This window comes from Homo sapiens, chromosome 6, assembly GCF_000001405.40.
Source record: "Homo sapiens chromosome 6, GRCh38.p14 Primary Assembly".
NCBI classification, from domain to species: domain Eukaryota; kingdom Metazoa; phylum Chordata; class Mammalia; order Primates; family Hominidae; genus Homo; species Homo sapiens.
The window spans coordinates 15,507,318-15,525,286 of record NC_000006.12 but is presented as its reverse complement, the minus strand read 5'-3'; the positions used below and the strand labels follow the sequence as shown (position 1 = coordinate 15,525,286).

General features: G+C 52.3%; 2 protein-coding genes across 30 annotated transcripts in view, besides 6 other annotated features; one reads left to right on the top strand and one right to left on the bottom strand.

Moving 5' to 3' along the window:
- DTNBP1 (dystrobrevin binding protein 1) overlaps window positions 1-2,480 on the top strand; it is a 140,252-nt gene extending 137,772 nt beyond the window's left edge. For 7 of the 9 annotated variants that reach the window (NM_001271669.2, NM_001271668.2, NM_032122.5 and 4 more), the window contains 2 exons: window positions 618-761; window positions 2,068-2,480. In NM_001271669.2, coding sequence (NP_001258598.1) covers window positions 618-761; window positions 2,068-2,312 — 389 coding nt within the window. In that variant the 3' untranslated portion in view covers window positions 2,313-2,480. Of the gene's footprint in view, window positions 1-617; window positions 1,725-2,067 lie in introns of those variants that run through there. The other 2 variants (NR_036448.3, NM_183040.2) reach the window with 2 other exon arrangements.
- Window positions 2,067-2,253: a silencer, noted in NCBI's record as "fragment chr6:15523265-15523451 (GRCh37/hg19 assembly coordinates)". NCBI's record gives its function as "represses an EF-1alpha promoter that drives an FKBP-Casp9 reporter gene in an ReSE screen in K562 erythroleukemia cells {active_cell/tissue: K562}" and the evidence as "EXISTENCE:reporter gene assay evidence [ECO:0000049][PMID:32094911]".
- Window positions 3,245-17,969, bottom strand: part of JARID2 (jumonji and AT-rich interaction domain containing 2) — a 275,974-nt gene continuing 261,249 nt past the window's right edge. For 16 of the 21 annotated variants that reach the window (XM_011514579.4, XM_017010833.3, XM_047418735.1 and 13 more), the window contains 8 exons: window positions 17,871-17,941; window positions 16,833-16,947; window positions 13,886-13,991; window positions 12,897-13,079; window positions 12,242-12,372; window positions 11,865-12,048; window positions 8,019-8,126; window positions 3,245-5,218 (listed from right to left, as the gene is read on the bottom strand). In XM_011514579.4, the coding sequence (XP_011512881.1) occupies window positions 5,036-5,218; window positions 8,019-8,126; window positions 11,865-12,048; window positions 12,242-12,372; window positions 12,897-13,079; window positions 13,886-13,991; window positions 16,833-16,947; window positions 17,871-17,941 (1,081 nt within the window). In that variant the 3' untranslated portion in view covers window positions 3,245-5,035. Of the gene's footprint in view, window positions 5,219-8,018; window positions 8,127-11,864; window positions 12,049-12,241; window positions 12,373-12,896; window positions 13,080-13,885; window positions 13,992-15,929; window positions 16,324-16,832; window positions 16,948-17,870; window positions 17,942-17,969 lie in introns of those variants that run through there. The other 5 variants (XM_047418744.1, XM_047418745.1, XM_047418746.1 and 2 more) reach the window with 1 other exon arrangement.
- Window positions 7,460-7,960: an enhancer, noted in NCBI's record as "H3K4me1 hESC enhancer chr6:15517558-15518058 (GRCh37/hg19 assembly coordinates)". NCBI's record gives its function as "activates a minimal SCP1, AML or CMV promoter by ChIP-STARR-seq in primed H9 embryonic stem cells {active_cell/tissue: H9 hESC(primed)}" and the evidence as "EXISTENCE:reporter gene assay evidence [ECO:0000049][PMID:30033119]".
- Window positions 11,518-12,496: an enhancer, noted in NCBI's record as "H3K4me1 hESC enhancer chr6:15513022-15514000 (GRCh37/hg19 assembly coordinates)". NCBI's record gives its function as "activates a minimal SCP1, AML or CMV promoter by ChIP-STARR-seq in naive H9 embryonic stem cells {active_cell/tissue: H9 hESC(naive)}" and the evidence as "EXISTENCE:reporter gene assay evidence [ECO:0000049][PMID:30033119]".
- Window positions 16,316-16,857: an enhancer, noted in NCBI's record as "NANOG-H3K4me1 hESC enhancer chr6:15508661-15509202 (GRCh37/hg19 assembly coordinates)". NCBI's record gives its function as "activates a minimal SCP1, AML or CMV promoter by ChIP-STARR-seq in primed H9 embryonic stem cells {active_cell/tissue: H9 hESC(primed)}" and the evidence as "EXISTENCE:reporter gene assay evidence [ECO:0000049][PMID:30033119]".
- Window positions 16,858-17,399: an enhancer, noted in NCBI's record as "H3K4me1 hESC enhancer chr6:15508119-15508660 (GRCh37/hg19 assembly coordinates)". NCBI's record gives its function as "activates a minimal SCP1, AML or CMV promoter by ChIP-STARR-seq in primed H9 embryonic stem cells {active_cell/tissue: H9 hESC(primed)}" and the evidence as "EXISTENCE:reporter gene assay evidence [ECO:0000049][PMID:30033119]".
- Window positions 17,400-17,941: an enhancer, noted in NCBI's record as "H3K4me1 hESC enhancer chr6:15507577-15508118 (GRCh37/hg19 assembly coordinates)". NCBI's record gives its function as "activates a minimal SCP1, AML or CMV promoter by ChIP-STARR-seq in primed H9 embryonic stem cells {active_cell/tissue: H9 hESC(primed)}" and the evidence as "EXISTENCE:reporter gene assay evidence [ECO:0000049][PMID:30033119]".

Below are 17,969 nucleotides of genomic sequence, written 5' to 3'. Positions count from 1 at the left end.
GTGCTCAGTGCCCGGGCAGAGGCCAACTAGGCATGTGCTGTTTCATGGGGTCGCCGTCTGCTGGTGGGCTGGGTTTTGTTTTCTCCTAGTCTGTGCTTCCACTGCAGGGAGCTCTTACAGCTTACAGATGTAGGTCAAACCCCTTCTGCCGTTAGGCCCGAGAAATGTTCCAAGGCCAGTGGAAACTCCACTTGCAATTAGAGGAGTGCGCCTGCCGGGAAGGTTCAGGGCACCTGTAGGCAGGAAGCAGAGCTGTGGCTGGCAGGGAGGAAGGTCGCTAACTGTTGCTGCAGGAATGTTGGCCTCTTTGAGACAGGCTGAGCGTCCTACTCAAAACAGCCGGGACTCACTTAATGCAGAGATTAGTCTTCAGCGTCCCAAAGGGCTGGGGATGAACAGATTAAGGAAGTGTAAAAGGTAATAATAGTTGCCAAGGGTGATTTAGGATGCATTTAAAGTGCCAGACTGGCATATGTCATCTACTAATACGTTGCTTCAAATTCCATTTTGAAGGAAGCTTAGGAAATGCAATGTAGTTAGCCTAATGCCAATGGAAGTTCACCTTTTAAAGTAATATTAAAGACAGCGTGTCCTTTCTCGTGTTGATCTATCCGCAGAGCCCATAGGCAGCATGTCATCCATGGAAGTGAACGTGGACATGCTGGAGCAGATGGACCTGATGGACATATCGGACCAGGAGGCCCTGGACGTCTTCCTGAACTCTGGAGGAGAAGAGAACACTGTGCTGTCCCCCGCCTTAGGTAGGGTTGACAAACTTGCATTAGCTGAACCAGGGCAGTATCGATGCCACTCCCCTCCAAAGGTGAGACGTGAGAACCATCTGCCAGTCACTTACGCATAAACCCCCAAGCTCACAGCCAGCTCCTGGCTCCCTAACCCCACGGTTCCACACGGCTGTGTGGCAGCTGCAACAGTGGTGTGGTTCCGTCATGAATTCTTCTCAAAGATTTGACATGCTCCACTCCGGTAACTTTGGTGAGTTGAGAGCTTTCTTGTTTGTTTTCCCTCCTTTACCACCCAGAAATCCATTTGAGTCTGCTCCTTGTGGTTAAGGACTGGCGTTTGCAGGGAGGTGCGGACTCTCCTGCGGGGCTCACGGGAAACTCTTCCCTCTTCGTGCGACAGGCATTTAGGGGCGTGCCTGCCATGGGCAAAGCCATGGTGTGTGTTCAGCTCTTGGCCTGTGTTGTAAACTTAGTTGCACTTCAGTTCCTTTCATCCCTTCACAAAATTTTGTTTCACATTCATGCAGCAAATATGGGCTGAGGTGCCAGACCTGTACCTGGGCTTGGTGCGTTTCAAATTTCAGACCAGTTCTTTGGGCTGGGTCAAGGCAAAGCTCAGTCGTCCCAGCAGCACCTCAGCCATCTGTAGAAGGTTCTACCATTACCACGGTTTCAGCTTCCTCTAAACTTCTCACCCGCTTCTCCTGGCAATCTGTCAGAACGGTGTCATCCTGGGGAAGAGAAGGAGCTTGGGTGCATTTGCCCTCATCCTGAGAAGGCCAGAATACTGGAGACCAGCGTGAACCCTCACCCAGAGTCAGGGGAAGATTTAGAAACAGTGACACCTGCATATAGAATTTTGATTCCTTGAAGAGCCTATTTAGTTCCATAAAATTGGAGAACTGCTGAAGGTCAGTAATTCCGACTTTCTCAGCAGTGGTGTCTCTGAATTACTGCAAAGGGTAAAAAAAAAAAAAAGAAATCTAGATTATCAAGGTTACAAGGACTGCTCCTCAAAGATAGGCAGCACTTGCCTTTGGGCCTCTATTACACGCGTATTACAGCCTTAGGAGCACTTGATCTGTGTCACATGTGGCTGACTCCTTAGGGGACAGAAGGGTCACCGCAGGGCCTGAGGCTGCCTCTGGCATCGCTCAGCTCAGTGTCTTCCAGGGCAGTTCCCAAGTTCTGCAGGCCCCAGGTGCCTGGAACAAAAACCACACCCCCCTTTCATGACGGGCACATTCCACAGCTGTTGGCGGCAATTCTGATTCACAATATTTTTATGACAGGGCTTTTTCTTCCCTACGTTATTTTGCAGGGCCTGAATCCAGTACCTGTCAGAATGAGATTACCCTCCAGGTTCCAAATCCCTCAGAATTAAGAGCCAAGCCACCTTCTTCTTCCTCCACCTGCACCGACTCGGCCACCCGGGACATCAGTGAGGGTGGGGAGTCCCCCGTTGTTCAGTCCGATGAGGAGGAAGTTCAGGTGGACACTGCCCTGGCCACATCACACACTGACAGAGAGGCCACTCCGGATGGTGGTGAGGACAGCGACTCTTAAATTGGGACATGGGCGTTGTCTGGCCACACTGGAATCCAGTTTTGGCTGTATGCGGAATTCCACCTGGAAAGCCAGGTTGTTTTATAGAGGTTCTTGATTTTTACATAATTGCCAATAATGTGTGAGAAACTTAAAGAACAGCTAACAATAAAGTGTGAGGACGGTAAACTGAGAGCGCACAGAGCTAGTTTGTACACAAAGGCTTCTAAATACACATGTCCTTAAGGCCACTGTAACTCAGGGTTCCTTAGAGTGAAGGGACGTGCAGGTCATTGAGGGCCACCCCGGGAGGTTGCATGTGGGCAGGGCCTGGGCCAGGTGGTGGAGGCTCCACAGGGCTGAGTTCTGCATGAGGCAGGGAATGACCTACCGTTTCACAAGTGGAAAATGCCACTTCCTGTAGAAGAGCTGACTGTAGCCAAACCACTCTGGCAAAGCTTGGGGTTTTCCGTTGATCATTACAGAAGTAAGTAAGTATCATTAGTCCAGTAGCCAGCCAGTCCAACCCCTACTTTTTCACACTCCTGGGCCCAAAAGAACAGAAACAAGCCCAAAGCAATCCTCCATTCTTTATGAAAAGAAACTGGTCCCCTGGAGATGTGTTCCTGCCATCACTCCTCCAGCCCAATGAGAGAGAGGGGACAGACTCCCCGCCGGGATGAGGGGGTCTGTCTGTCTGCAGCCATACCACCCTGAATGCACCCAGTGTCGTCTCATCATGAAAGCAAGCTCAGCAGGGGGGCGCAGCTCGATGGGAAATGAGGGGGACGGCCGCAGGCCACATGGAAACCATTAGGTTAGGCTGAAGGGGACCCAGTGGCAGGTGGGAGCAGGACTGCAGTGTGGGGGGTGGCTCTGCTCCCTGGCTGGGGGGAATCCTCTGCCCCCTGCCCGTGGACGAGAAAAGAAAGAGCTCATTCCATTCAGTCATCTTCCACAAGACAGACAAATGTCCAAAAAACTTTGTTTTTATTATTAAACCTTGTAGTACAAACCTGAAAAGTAAACAAAAAACTCGCAATAAACCACATGAAGTCTCCCTCCCAAGGGAGGGGTGCAGAGCAGCGCTAATAAATTAAATGTCAAACTGTAAGCCATAGGCAGAAGTTTACTGTCAAAAAGAGGGAAAGTACACAGCAAGGCCATAGAAACCGGACAACCACATTGGAAAACACTTGACTGTTTCTGTAATTGTTAAATATTCCAAAACAGTTCAGTCTTCTGCAACAACAACCAACAAAGTGGATCATAGGACGTTCCTGGCAGTCACCACTGGCAAGCTCAGTGCAATATGGGTAGCTACGGGATTGATGAATCCAATTATGAAACAAAGAACAGCTTGTGAAAACAGTTTCCCTTTTTTATTCCACACATACTGTACACACAACCGGAGAAGGGCAACAGCTACTCCATTATTATTTTTTTGTTGTTGTTCAGTGATGTAAGCAGCACTTATAAATGTTACAAGAAAAACCCTGTAAGCATCCAATCCAACCGATGAAGAAACTGAAATGTAAGGCTTTTCTTCATCTTGTCTTCTCACCCCCCTCCCCACCCCCCACCGAGAAAAAGGCTCAAGTATTTAAAACAATTTACAGGCATATGTACAAAAGGGATGGGATTTTTTTTTCTTTTTTCCTTTTTGTTACAACATGAAGAGAAAAAATAGACAAGATGAACGCAAATGCATTTTCACATTCAAAAATAACTGCAGGCCTCCTAGTGGCTCTCTACATGATCATAAATGAAACAAGTTTTAAAAGAAAGATTAATGCTGACTTGTGAAGGTGTCAAACAAGAAGCGGTGAGATGGAGATGGAATGTTAGAAAGATTGCACGTCGATGACAAAGAAGCACTTACGGCTTCCATCACTTTTTTTTCCTTTTTTTTTTTTTTTTTTTTAAATCTTAAGGATGCTATTGAAGGGTTTTTTGATAAAGTAGCCAACAGCACCAAAAAATAACAGAATGGATTTCCTAATGAAATCAGGCACAGGTCTCCCTCATGTGACCCCTCCAAGGCAGGCAGTCTTTTCCGTCTTCCTCGCTCGCTTTTCTTCTTTCCTGGAACAGATGCATAGTGATGTGCTGGTGGAGAGCCCACTCGCTCCCGTCTCCTCGTTCCACCTATGGTTAGGAAACAACGTCCGCCTTCAGCTGCCACAACCGCCCAGAGAAACAAAACGGGGGTGCCCCGGCTTCCCAGATCACAAGCTCATCTGGCACACGGCAGAAGACGACAGCCAAAGCAAAGCCATTTCAAGTTTCGTGTGTGTGTGTGTGTGCGCGTGTGTCTCCTATCCCTTCTAAAAAATCTGCTCACATGACTGATGGTTTTTAAATTTGTTCTCCAAACTTCACCCTCTTCAAAAATGGGTTAAAAAGCCTTTTTCCCCCCAACAGTTACAAAAAAAAAAAAATCAAAACCAAAAAAAAAGGCTTTTGTCAGCCATGGGGCAATACAAATTAATACAGCCCCTCCGGGGTTTTTAAAACAGTGACTATACGGCAGTTTCCAAAATCTGACTGCAGTATCTAGGTTTTCTAAGTACAAAAAAAAGTTCAACAGTTTAATGCTAAAACAAAATTAGTTCTCTAAAACCAGAAGAAAATCTTCTTTAGAGCTAGTGCAAAGACAGCTTGAATCCTACAGCAAGTACTCCAAACTAGAATATAATAATTACAAAAAAATATATATAAATCGACCACGGGCGTTGGCATCTTCATGATGAGCTCGAAGCACTTTTGGATGAACTGGAGGCTGACAGACGGGAGGGGGGCACGTCCACTGTCGCTCTCTTGCGGGGACCTCTTTTTGGTGTGGGTTTACTGAGACAGTTCTCAATGCTGCCGTTTTTACCAGACACTTTGCCGCAGATCTGATTGACCAGACTGATAATCTGTTCCTGTTTGGGGGTGAAAGGAAGACACAGTTAACATACCGTATTAACAAGAGCTCTGTCCCTGAGAGCCATGCAGGGGCAAGTTTAGGGCAGAGGGCAGCGGTCCCCTTCACCACACCAACCAACAGGTTTTAAAATAACCCCGAGAGGCTCAGATGCAGTGAGTCTCCCTTTCCCAGCTCCTCCTGATGCCACATAGCAGGCATGGCCGTTTCATCCTCATCAACACCCTGGTCCACCATGCTTTGCCTGCTCATAAGGGCAGGGCTGGCAGGGGAGCCCAGAGCACTGCCTCTACCACGGAGCACTCAGCAAAGAGACCCAGGGGCTTTGTTACATCCTGGATGGTGACACAAATACCCAAGCTACTTGACTCACTTTAGCTACCGGCCACTGAACCTGGCCATGCAAGTAAATGCAAACACTTCTCAACCTATACATATCCTTGTAATTCACTCAAGAGAATCATTTATCTGTCGGCACCAAAAACTGTGTTTGTAACTTTCACACAGTACATCCTATAATCATATCATTTTTAAAAACAACATGGGGAGGAGTAGCAAACGTGCATCTTATGAGCATCTCTCTGGGCCACGGGTGGCTGGGAACCATGCTGACCCTGGCAGGAGAGGAAGCCAGCCATGGAATGAAACATCTGAGGGCCTGATCTCTAGTCCTCTGAAAAGCCCTCAAGATGAGGGTGAGAAAGTGACAGCTGGCTCCCATCACAAGTTAAAGGTGCCTTCGGAAGGCGGGGCGGTCCACACGTATCTGTAATAACACCATAGTCATGGCTGCTTGAGGTACTGATGATAAACACTGATAAAGGATAAGTGGATGAGCTGCCATAAAACCCATTTAGGCGGCTACTGCTACCTTACCATAAGGACAAGTGAGGAGGAGCGGCAGTGTGCGGTTACAGGAGGACACCGTTCCCTCCCCTGCGTGCAGCTCGACAGGTGGGCAGCACCTGCCCCAGACCAGTGCTCTCACACTAGGCTCGGCGGCAGGCGGCCCAACACCCTGCTCAGCCAGCCTGCAAGGGCCAGAGACACAAATGGCTCCAAACTCCCCAGAGAGCTTCACCATCCATGAGAACCCAAGCCATGAATTCAGGGATTTGCAATCTAGGTGCACCCCCCACCCCAGCAAGGGTGGGTGTTTAAAGCAGACTGTCCCGGGTCAGCAGGCCCAGACATGGGTGATTTGTGTACTGGGCACACTGGGAGGTTGAGAAGATTTTGCAATGGTCTCTGTTTACAAGGTAGAAATTTCCTATTTAAAAGAATGGGCCAGGTGTGGTGGCTCACGCCTGTAATCCCAGCACTTTGGGAGGCTGAAGCAAGCTGATCACCTGAGGTCAGGAGTTTGAGACCAGCCTGACCAACATGGTAAAACCCTGTCTCTACTAAAAAGAAAAATTAGCCGGGTGCGTAGTGGCGGGCACCTGTAATCCCAGCTACTCCAGAAACTGAAGCAGGAGAATGGCGTGAACCTGGGAGGCGGAGCTTGCAGTGGGCCGAGATCACGCCACTGCACTCCAGCCTGGCGACAGAGCGAGACTCCGTCTTAAAAACAAAAAAATGCACAGCTCAACAGGGGACAGAGGCACAGACATGCTTACTGAACTACTCAGCCACTACAGAGTATGCAGTTTCCAAATACCTTTGCTCCTAATTCATCAAAACCAACCATTAGGTCTCAGACAGCCCCTGAATGCCATTCTTTTCCCAGGATCTGGTCACGTCACACATCCGACTACAGAAACAGGCTGCTGGTGAGAGGTACAACCCATGATTCACAGAGCGCTTTCCAGGCAGCCAGAGGAAGCCTCCCCGTGCCGCCGCCTGCACCCCCACAAGGTGCCAGAGCCATGCTCGTGCTCAGCCGCAAAGGCTTCGTTATTTGCAACTGTGCCTGGACATTTGCTGCTAAGGTGAAGGAGGGACACAGCAGGTGCTTACTGCCTTCACCCAGCATGCTCTTTGAAACAAAACAGATGCAAAGAGTTCTTCTTCCAGCTCTCCGATCATTTAGCTCAAGGCTTATCCAGTGAGACCCACCACTTGGCCCCACTGCCTGGGCCCCCAGACACACCAGGCCCCTCACAGTCATACCCGCAGCACCCACCCCACTCAGTGGCCTCAAATGTGCAATGACCACAATGTGGCGACCTTCCTCGTAACCAGCCTCATCAGAGTCTGTGGGAAGCACACGTGGGGAAGGCGGGCAGAGCAGGGGAGAGGCACTGCTGCCAGGAGTTCCGCCACTCAGAGCGGCCCCCAGCTGCACAGGCTGTGTGTTGTTATGACCCCCCTCTCCAGAAGAGCGTGGCACCTGCAGGAAGGCACCGGGATTTCACATCATGGGGCCCGTCCTGCCCCAGTGTCCGCAGACACTTCCAGCTCTCTCAGCCTGAAGGGGCTGGTGTCAAGTTAGTGCAGATTGGAGAGGCCACTGCCAACCATCCCACTGTGCCTGGGACAGGTCACAAAAAAGGGTCTGGGTCTAAACCACAGTGGTGCAGCCCTTGGGAAAGCCGGGGGGGCGGCTGCAGGAAGAGCCTCAGCCCTGTTAAGAGCCCATTGCTCAAATCCAAATGCCCGTGCAGGAACCCCGCTCCCCCTGGGATCCTAACATGGGGCCTGAATGGGTTTAGGGCCTAAGAACAGGGCACCTCAGGCCTGCAGAGCCCTGACTACCCGCCAGGCACAGAACTGCCAGGCCGGAGTGCCTACATCCAGCCGGGAGCAGGGAAGGCGCCACGCTGCCGCCCTGCCCTACCCCGCGGGCAGGGACTGACCTCATCGTAGCGGTACATCAACTTCAGCCCTCGGCAGGACTTCTGTTTCTCCACGTGGCGCAGAGCACACTCCAGACAGAACACGACGTTTTCGTTCTCTTGTACCACCTGCAAGCAAGAGCAGGACACCCGAAGGTCAGGAGGCAGCTCCACAGCGCCCTGGGAGGGTAAGGTAGGAGCACGCCCGGCCGGGCAGCCACCACACCCACTGCCCGCGCCAGAGTAGCCCCAGCACCCACCACCCGGGCCAAGGGCTTTGAGGACTGGAAATGCTGGAAATGGACTAAAACGAAAACTGACCAAACACCTGGAACATGGTCTTCAACTAGGAAGGTGAGTAACTGACCACCTCTGAGTTAGACCTGGGAGTGGCCCTCAAGTCCCCTCCAGATTTCTGCTGGAGTTTCCTGGGAGAGGTTCAGTCACCACCAGGCTGCTAAAGACAGTGAGGGGTGCGTATTTCTCATCTCTTGAGTTCTGAGGGCTCCTGAGATCCTGTGTTTGAAACCACCCTAGTGCTGGAATAGATGTGGAACATGGAGGACTCCAACTTAGGCGGCCACCCGGGGAACGCACCCTTGACTTTCCAGCAGCAAAACAGGTTCTCATGGTGGTCCATGAGTGGCTCACAGTCAACAGAGCAAGCGGCGTCCAACGACCCCATGCAAACTCCCCCAAAACCCTCAACATCACAGATTCCTGACCGCTGTGACGCCGATGACCTCACCCACCAGCCCCGGCCCCCTTGGGCGGGCTGTCCACAAAGCCCACAGCTGTCCCGCCAGTGGACACCCTGCTGCCTGAGGCCACAGGAGAGTGCTGGGACAGAGACCCTCACTGGGGGCCTGTCTAGGGTTGAGAGGGGCCGGATGAAAGGAAACAGCCACCTGGCTTCTGCCGGAGGGCTCCCATACTTCACGCTGACTCCAAGTCCTATTCTAATTCTGAGTTTGAAAATAAGGAAAAATTCAGTCTTAACACTCAAGAGGAGAAGAGTCATAGGCCTTTCTCAGAAAGCTTGAGGGGAAGGACTTGTTTTCGTCTGCGGTGTTTCTAAGCAAGGAACAGAGAACACGTTGTAGGAGTGTGGGAATGCCACCTACTGACAGAAACAAGACCTTGGAGAGACACGGGGCCAAGGACAGGAAGAACAGGAAACACATCAAATTTAAATTCACAAATGTATTAGTAATCCAAGCAATGCAAACTGTCAACGTATAAGTCAAACCCCAATTTTTGCCTATGGATTTATAACGGGTTTTTTTTTTTTTTTTGAGATGGAGTCTCGCACTGTCACCTGGGCGATGGCGCGATCTCGGCTCACTGCAACCTCCACCTCCCGAGTAGCTGGGACTACAGGCGCTCAACATCATGCACGGCTAATTTTTTCTATTTTTAGTAGAGATGGTGTTTCACCATGTTGGCCAGGCTGTGATTGGCCCGCCTCAGCCTCCCAAAGTGCTGGGATTACAAGCATAAGCCACCGTGCCTGGTTTTTGTTTTTGTTTTTTTTTTTTAAAGAGACAGGTTGTCACTCTGTCACCCAGGCTGGAGTACAGTGGTGTGATCATGGCTCACTGTAGCCTTGAACTTCTGGGCTCAAGTGATACCCCCGCCACCACACCCAGTTAATTTTTTGTATTTTTTGTAGAGATTAGTCTCCCTCTGTCACCCAGGCTGGTCTCGCACTCCTGGCCTCGAGTGATCTGCCCACCATTGCCTCCCGAAGCACTGGGATTGGCCTACCATGCCCGGCCTCACAATACATTCTTCTTAAAATAACTTTCAGGCTGACAGGAAATGCCAGGTGACAACTCTGAAGTTTCTGAAGGATGGCTTGAAAATGAGGCCACCTGGTGCCACCTCACAGGGACAGACCAGCTTCACCCCCAGGTGTAACTACCATACAGCCCTCAGTGCATGGAAATGAATAGCGTGTTCCAGCAAGAGGATGGACAGCTGGGCGCAGTGGCCCATGCCTATAATCCTGGGGCTCTGGGAGGCTGAAGTAGGCAGCCTATGGGTAACAGCAAAACCCCATCTCTACCACAAAAAAAAAAAAAGTTAACCAGGCGTGGTGGTACACCTGCTGTCCCAGCTACTCAGGAGGCTGAGGTGGGAGGATGACCAGGAGGTTGAGGCTACAGTGAGACAGGATCACAGCACGCATTCCATCCTAGGCAACAGAGCAAGACTGTCTCAAACAAACAAAAAAAAAAAAGAACAGAGAGAGAGCACACCAAGCTATGCAGCTTTTATCAGTGATGTTTATAAGATACTTTGAAGATCTGGGAAAATGCTTATCATCATTTTCTTTTAAGAACCAAATGGCTCTAGGTAATACATTTTGAGAAGTCTGGGGGAAAAAACCAGACAGAAGGAAATCTACAGGACAGGAGGCAGGGCGGTCACGGACTGCATTTGTCCCCCATCAAATGCAAACGTTGAACCTCCAGGATCTCAGCTGTGACTGCAGTTGGGGGTAGGGCCTCTAAAGAGGTAAATCAGCTCAAATGAGGCCATGAGGGTGGGCCTATCTGATACAATGTGATTTGCGTCCTTAGGTAAGGAGGAGATGAGGACACACCGAGTTTTTAGCTCTTTCAAATGTTACAAAGCCCTGATCTGACGATCTGACGATCTGACTCATCCGGGAGAGGCTGTGTCCTCCCTCTTCTACAGGGCACGCCAGGACTCGGGGTGAGACGGCATGACACAGTCACACTGGGAGGCCAAGGAGAGTCGACCCGGGTCTCAGTCCTGGCCCACCATGGACAAGCAGAGGGACGCAGAGGCACTGGCCTCTCAGCGAGTGTGCAGCCGAAGGGGGCACCTGTGGGACACAGGCACCACACAGCATATGGGGTGGGCACCTCCTAAGCTAGGCTTCTGTACTGGAGATGTGAGGCACTGTGGAAAGGGACGAGGCCCGGGGAGGCAGGTCAGGCCCTTCGGGCATGCTCTCTGTTCCAGGCTAAGGTGTGTAGTGCTGTGGAGCCATCTGCAGTGCCAGCTGGGCGTCCCTACCCAGAGTGTGTCAGGGCAGCTCTCTGGTGAGAGGTCAAGGGGAGACTGGAAGAAGCATGGCGAGGCCACAGCCATCCAGTCGCCATGGAAGGGCTTTTCTGAGCCCACCTCTGGGCTGGAACAGGGGTGAGCAGGGGGAGGAGGTGTTTGGTATTAACCCCAAAGCTGAGGCAGGCAGGTGGGCACGAGGAAGCCAGCAGGGCACAGTCGAGAAGGCAAGAGGAATGCAGCCTGCTGTGGCCTGGAGTGGCTGTGCCAGAAAAGCATCTCTGATCCCAGATGGGACAGGAGGAACATCAGCTTTCACCAAGGATAGATTCTGAAGTCCTCGGGGGCTGAGGCAGATCATGTAGCTGAGCAGGACCAGGAAACCAAGAACAGAGCCAAAGGGCAGAGGCCATGGGCCCAGGTGCACCAGGCACAGGCCACAGGGAATGGCAGACGCTGCCCAGTACTGGAAACCCGCCCCTCACTGCCTCAGAAAGAATGGGTAAGAGCAGAGTGCGTGGGGGCTGGAGTGACAAAGTAGGGCGGAGAGGGAGGCCACCTGCTCCCCAGGGAGGAAGGACGCACTGCAGGACCGAGGGAGGGCCACGCGTGGGCAGAACAGAGGGACAGCCTCTGTGTGGCCTGGTCACTGTGGGTGAGGCAGCCACCTCCGGCGGCCAGAAGCTCCGCCGAGGTCCCACAGCCGGCTCCAGAGATGGGAGCACAGCAGGTCTCCTGGGCAGAGAGCGCCCTCCCTCTTCTGGGGGCAACCCCGGAGCTCTCAGGCCAAGCACTACATGCGAGGGCGCCGGCAGGGCCAGGCGGGCTCACCATGGACAGGTAGCACAGGTGCTGGCAGATCTGACACCTCCTCTCTGACGTCTCCAACTGCAGCCACTTTCGAGGCTTTTTCTTCCCGTCCGCCACCGTGCTGCTGCCATCGTGGCTGCCATAGCGTGCGGAGGAGTGGAGGCCAGCCTCGAACAGCTGCCTGCGCTGCCGCAGCTCTGTATCCCTGCCAGACACGGGAGACGGCCCGCACCTTTAGTGACGGCCTGCCATGCTCACCAGCAGAGGGGACACACGCACCCCACACCGGCCTCCCTGCAGACACACCCTCCTGTCAGGAAGTGAGGCCTGCTCGGGGGGTGAGCCCCCGAAGGGCAGCCGGGTCCAGCTCTCTGGCGTGGGCTCTGGGGGTCTGTTACCTGAGCTCATCCAGGAGGGCTGAGATGGTACTGAGAGTGGGACCGTTTTCTTTTTTTGCTTCTGCTTGTGCAATCTGGTAGAGTAACTTCTCCATGGAGAATGGCTTAGCTATATGGCGACGCTTCATTTCCTGAAAGAGGAGTCACATCCCTTTAGGGTGGATTTTCATTACTAGGCAGCTGTCAAGGTTCTTCTTGGTGGAGGGGGCAGGCAGGCTGTCTGAATTTCTAAATCTTGAATTGCATTTAGATTAAAAACTCTTCAAAACTTTGCCTCCCTGTGAGAAAGGCACCACATACCAGGAAAAGTCATAGCACTTCGCCGCTACCCAGAGGCAGCTGCCACTCCCTCACGATGGGTGGAGGTTCTCTGTCCATTCTAAGCAATTACCTTGAGCATCTTCAACAGTTTTCCAATACTGGAGGGGTCTGTCAGTAACGGTCTGATCAAAACTCTTTGTGATACAAACAAATCCCTAACAACTTTTCATTCCTAGAAGACCTTTCAACCACGTCTTAAGAATTTCAAAGACATATTCCAAAAGGAACTATTGACAAATAGACACGCACACGCAGGGATGCTTCTGTGTGCGCTCACGCACGGCACTCACAGGGATGCGGGGGCAGCAAGCGGGAGGAGGCCGGCTCTGCTCACCTTGGCGGTCTCAAAGCCCATACTTGTCCACTGGGTGGTAGCAAAGTGCACGGTTTCAGACACGCTGTACCCACAGCACACTTTGGACACAAAGGATCCCGGGAAGCAGACGACAAACTGGCCACTCTGCTGCACGGTCCTGTGCACCTTGATCCCCTCTTTGCACAGCACCTCCGGGGAGATCTGGGGAGACAGGGCCAGGCTGAGGCACCCCTCCCTGTGCGCAGGGACACCTGCAGTCTTCAGGTGACGTATGCGCACCCTAAGAGGCCTGCTCTCAAGGAGATAAGATTGTTTTATGTGGAAAATAAAAAGACGTCATTCATAACACAAGAAGGAGCTTCTAAACTGCACTGGTCCAAGAGTGATGACAGGTTCATGCACAGCTGAGGACATGATGACCACACAGGCCCCTCTGTCCCCACGTGGCAATGCCAGGGCTGGAAACAGGACAAGGTTACACAACCAGGAGGCTGCCGGGCTCATCTCCAGAGCCAAGTAGGCCACAGGCCCACAGGCTGGGCTTACAAAGGAGTCCCCCGTCCATCTCTTCTCTAAGATGGACAGGCGGGACCGGCAGGGTCAGCAGAGGCCAGAGAAGCTGGTCAGAACTCAGCTCAAAGCAGCACTTCCCAGGAACTCACCAGCCCCATGACTTCCTGAAAACAGGTGAAGAAGCCTTTGTGCTCATTCCTCTCACATGCCCAGAAGGTAGGAGCGGCGGGCACAAGAAATCCCAGGGCCCACAGCAGCCCACAACACAAACAAGCCCCAAAACAGATGCAAAGGCCGTGCAAAACCCCAGCGCCCTGTGCAATCTGATGGAAGGTCAGTTTGGCTTTTGTGTCAGAGGACCTTTCCCTTTGCACCCTGGGGATTTGTTTTGCTGTGTCCTCATTGCCTTTGAAAGGCGGGTTCATGGGAAACCATGTTCAAGTGCCTAGGAGGTCCTACAGCTCCTGCTGGAGGCGGTGGCTGAGTGGACGCACCATGACGTTGCTTTCCAGCATCTGCAGCCCTGGGGTGCCATTGGCTTGCAGCAGGGTGTGGACCACATCTTCCAGCTTGTTCTCCTCCTCAGCAGGAATGCAATACCTGGGTCATTGAGAGACACAAGAGACAAGCAGAGACTTGACAAGGGCCTCCTGCATGTACTGGGCCACCCCCGTCACCCTCAGGGACCCGAGCACACGAGAGGCTCTGCTCCACGCCGGCAGGGATGGCGCACTGGCCTGGCTGGGTGCCTGGTCACTGCTGGCTCCCATTTCCCATGGCAGCAGTGCCACGTCCACCTAGCACACAGCCAAACCACAGTGCATCCGCGTTGCGAGATGCTCATCTTTTATGGAGATCTGACCCACCTGGTGAGCCAAAAAGCCTTCAAACCACAAACAGATGTTCACAAACCCCTAGAAATCAGAACCAGACACACTGCGGCCTCCACGAGCCTCTTCTGAGGCTCCAGCACTGCACCCTCCTTCTGTTAACAGAGGCCACTGCAGGAGCAGCACCTGATAATGTCCTCACAAGGAATACGTGGCTCCCTCGGCCCTCCAGACAGGAACAGTAAACCCTGCCCTCTACAAATGCACAGAGAGTTGGGGAAGGAGCCAGGCTCATGCACATGTGCCACCTCAAGGCCAACTCCTTGGCAGATGCTGTGGTGAAGTAGGGGTCAGGGGATAGCTAGGGGCCCCCAGCTCTGCTCCCCACTGGAGAGTTTTACGTGTTAGGACCCAGCCTACCCGGCATCAGGCACATACAGCAAGACACACAGGAGGATCAAGGGCTCATAGGCCTCTGTCAGAGGGTGGCCTGGGGAAGTGGTGGCTCACAGACCCTCCAGGGTATAACCATGGCAGGGGTCCTCAAGTGTAAGAAAAGGTGGGAGGTACAGGTAGAAAGTAACCTACACGGCCTCCTCACGGCAATCACAGGGAGGGGAGGAGGTTTTGCCCATGTCCTTGGAGCCCACCAGGGCCACACTTCCACTCACAACGTGTGACGCCCCTGGTGTCAGGCTCACAGCATGAATGAGGGGGATGTGAGGGGAGGCCCCCCGCAAGGCAGGGGTGCAGGGATGGCTGCCCTGCCCCTGGGTGTCTCAGGCTGTCTGAGGGGCTCCTCCCCAGGCAAGAGGAGGACATCAGTGTGGAGAGGGGCCTGACAGGTCTTCAGGATGCTAAGCCAGTGAAGCCATCAACCACCATTAAACACAAAGATGTGGGCCAGCAGCTCAGGGCAACACCGCCAGCCCCTCCCCACAGCCCCCGCCCCCCAGGTCCAGGCGGGCAGCAACTCTGCAGCCCCTATGTGTCTGTGATGAAAGCATTTCTCTCTGAGGCCAAATCCTGGTTTCAGTTGCTCAGTGAAGGAAGTATTTTTTTTAATGCTCATGTTATTTTCAATGCCAACATATTCTGTTACTGATTGGTAATTTAAATACAGGGTTTCTAACCTAAATCACATGTTTTAAGAAAAACTACACACCATCATGTTCTCTGATCCTATCCCTGCCTTTTCTTTCTCTCCTGTCAATGAGGTTCCAGGAGTGAGTCTTCAAAAAGCCCACACAGGGTATCACATTTTGCTATCTGTGACTCAACGTCAAGCCATAAGCAAACCCACACGGAAGAAACTCGGGCCTGAGGTCACTGGCCTGGGGATGACCCCAGAACACAGGCCATGCCACAGCCAGTGTAACTCCTCCACAGGAAATGGCCACGCTCTTCTTCCGGAGGCAAAGGCACCTCTCGGAATAGTCCTGGCTGTCCCCTCCCCAGCTGGTGGCCTGGCCCGGCTAAGCCCCAAGGCTCCTGTCAGTCCCCGCTCCACAGGCAACAGCCTGGGCTTCCCGGGCCCATCACTCTGGACCCACTGCAGGACACCATGATCACCGTCCATGGCACACAGACCCATGTGGGAAGGGAGGGCTCCCTCATGTCCACAGCACCACTCACCAGAACAGCCAAAATGAGGAGGCTGCAGCCGACGCTGGCTCCAAAGAGGGAGAACACGAGTCCTAAGACTTTGTTTATTTTAATAAAGAATGTTTAATCACCCCATTAGGGCAATAAACACAGTCAGCATGGCATGAACAGCATGCCGGTAAACGATCAGACGACAAGACATCTGATTATTTGTAGTCATTTCCCATCTGCCGCCGTAAACAAAGACACCAAAGAGTCCAGCCTCGATCAGGGATGGGTGCAGTGAGAGTCAGGATTACAGGCGGGGACCCAGCCTCAATCAGGGATGGCTACAGTGAGAGTCAGATTACAGGCGGGGACCCAGAACACCTCGCCAGGCAACAGACTCCACAGGGTACATAACGCGCGTGTCTCCACATGGCAGGAACGAGATTCCCAAGTCAACTCTACTCCCCACAGCCACCGATAGATGAGGAAACACTGGCTCTACAGAGAGGCTGAAAATAACCAATCATGAAATACCACGGTTTATATTCAGTTACTAGAGGGCTGATGACACGGTCACTACTACTGGTTAGCTTTGTGTGGCACTTTTACTACTGTTCCTTAACCCTAAGGTGAAAATAACTCTTGGAAATCCACAAGAAAAAGTGACTAATCCATAACAAAACAAAACGAAACAAAACAAAACAAAAACAGACGTAAGTAGGTAATTCTTAAGGGAACTTAAGGAACTAAGGGGAACTTAAATGGCCACTAAGCATATGAAAAGATTTGCTCATCATCAGACAGTGTTACAACATTCTCCAGCACCCCAACTCTTCCAACAGAGGTAGGTGATCCCAGGCCCAGGCTTCGGCAGGGAACGCAGGACAGGCCTGAACACAGAGAAGCAAGTTCTCAAGCACGTGGAACCACCTGGACAAGAAGTTACCCACAGGCCCCACTTCATGTGGTAATAGTAGTTTCTGCAGTCCCTCCCTTCCCGCCTGGGGCCAGTACTCACCAAATGCAGTCAGCACCAGTGTGTAAGTAGTCAATGTATGGAAGGTGATTTTGGTCTCGAGACCAGCATGAGGTAGAAAAGACCATGCCAATATTTAGCCAGGGAATAGTCACTCCTAAAACAGAAAGAGTGAAAAGGGCATTTTTAAAAGCTAGGCAACAAGGTCTCAAAGGAACAGTAAGTAAAAATCTCTTTCTTCCGCTAAAACAAGAAGGAAAAGAAATGGGACTCAAAGCCAGACAAAAGACAGTGAGCAGAAGGTACCTACTCTTTCCTGCTTGCTCTACAGAAGTGGGAGAATATGAACACCGCTTCAAAACATCAGGAGCACGTCGGCCTCATGAGGGAGGTGGCCGCAGGAACCTGACCTGGTGAGGAATGCCGAGGAACCGGCCGCCCACGGGCCGAAGCCCCCAAGCCTCAAGGCTGAGGACCAGAGGCGCCAAACCCAAAAACCCCCATCAGGGCCAGAGGCAGAAAGCAAGAAAGCCCCTTTGTTGGTAAGGCCTCTGAGCAGGGTGAGTAGGGCACAGGGCTCCTTGGCTCAGCTCAGAAATGAGTCAGGTTCCAGGACCCGGACAGGTTCCTAGCCACTTTCGCCAAGGCCTGGGCCTTCACATTCATGGTGACCACAACCTCCATGACCCCTTGGCTTTCCCTGAAGTTTGCAAAGCATCCATCCGTCCCTTACGAGCCTACTGACCATCCTGAGAATTCATGATTTCAAGCCTGCAGTAGCCTTAAGGAATTGTGACTTCAGCTTTGAAAGCAGCAATTTCAAGGTTCAAAGTTGGCCCCTAAGCTTCTCCCAGCTCCAGACTCTGCCATGCGGTTCACCTTTCCACCTTTTCTACTGACTTCACCAATCATTATGTTACTCCTTTCTTTTCTAAAAATCAATTTTCACTGTATGTCCTGTAAGCCTGAAGACGCCATCCCTCCCCGGCAGTGCTTAGAAGGGATTTCCCAGCCCTGGTTCTCAGCAAGTAGGACTCATGGACACAGCTGCCACAGGCAGGCGGCCACAGTCAGGCTTACCAGGCACAGCACCGAGGTGACGCAGGATGGACCCTGTGTTATTGGGGAGGACGGTGAGGTTCCATCCATGCCTGCAAAGGGGAAGACGAGGGACGTTAC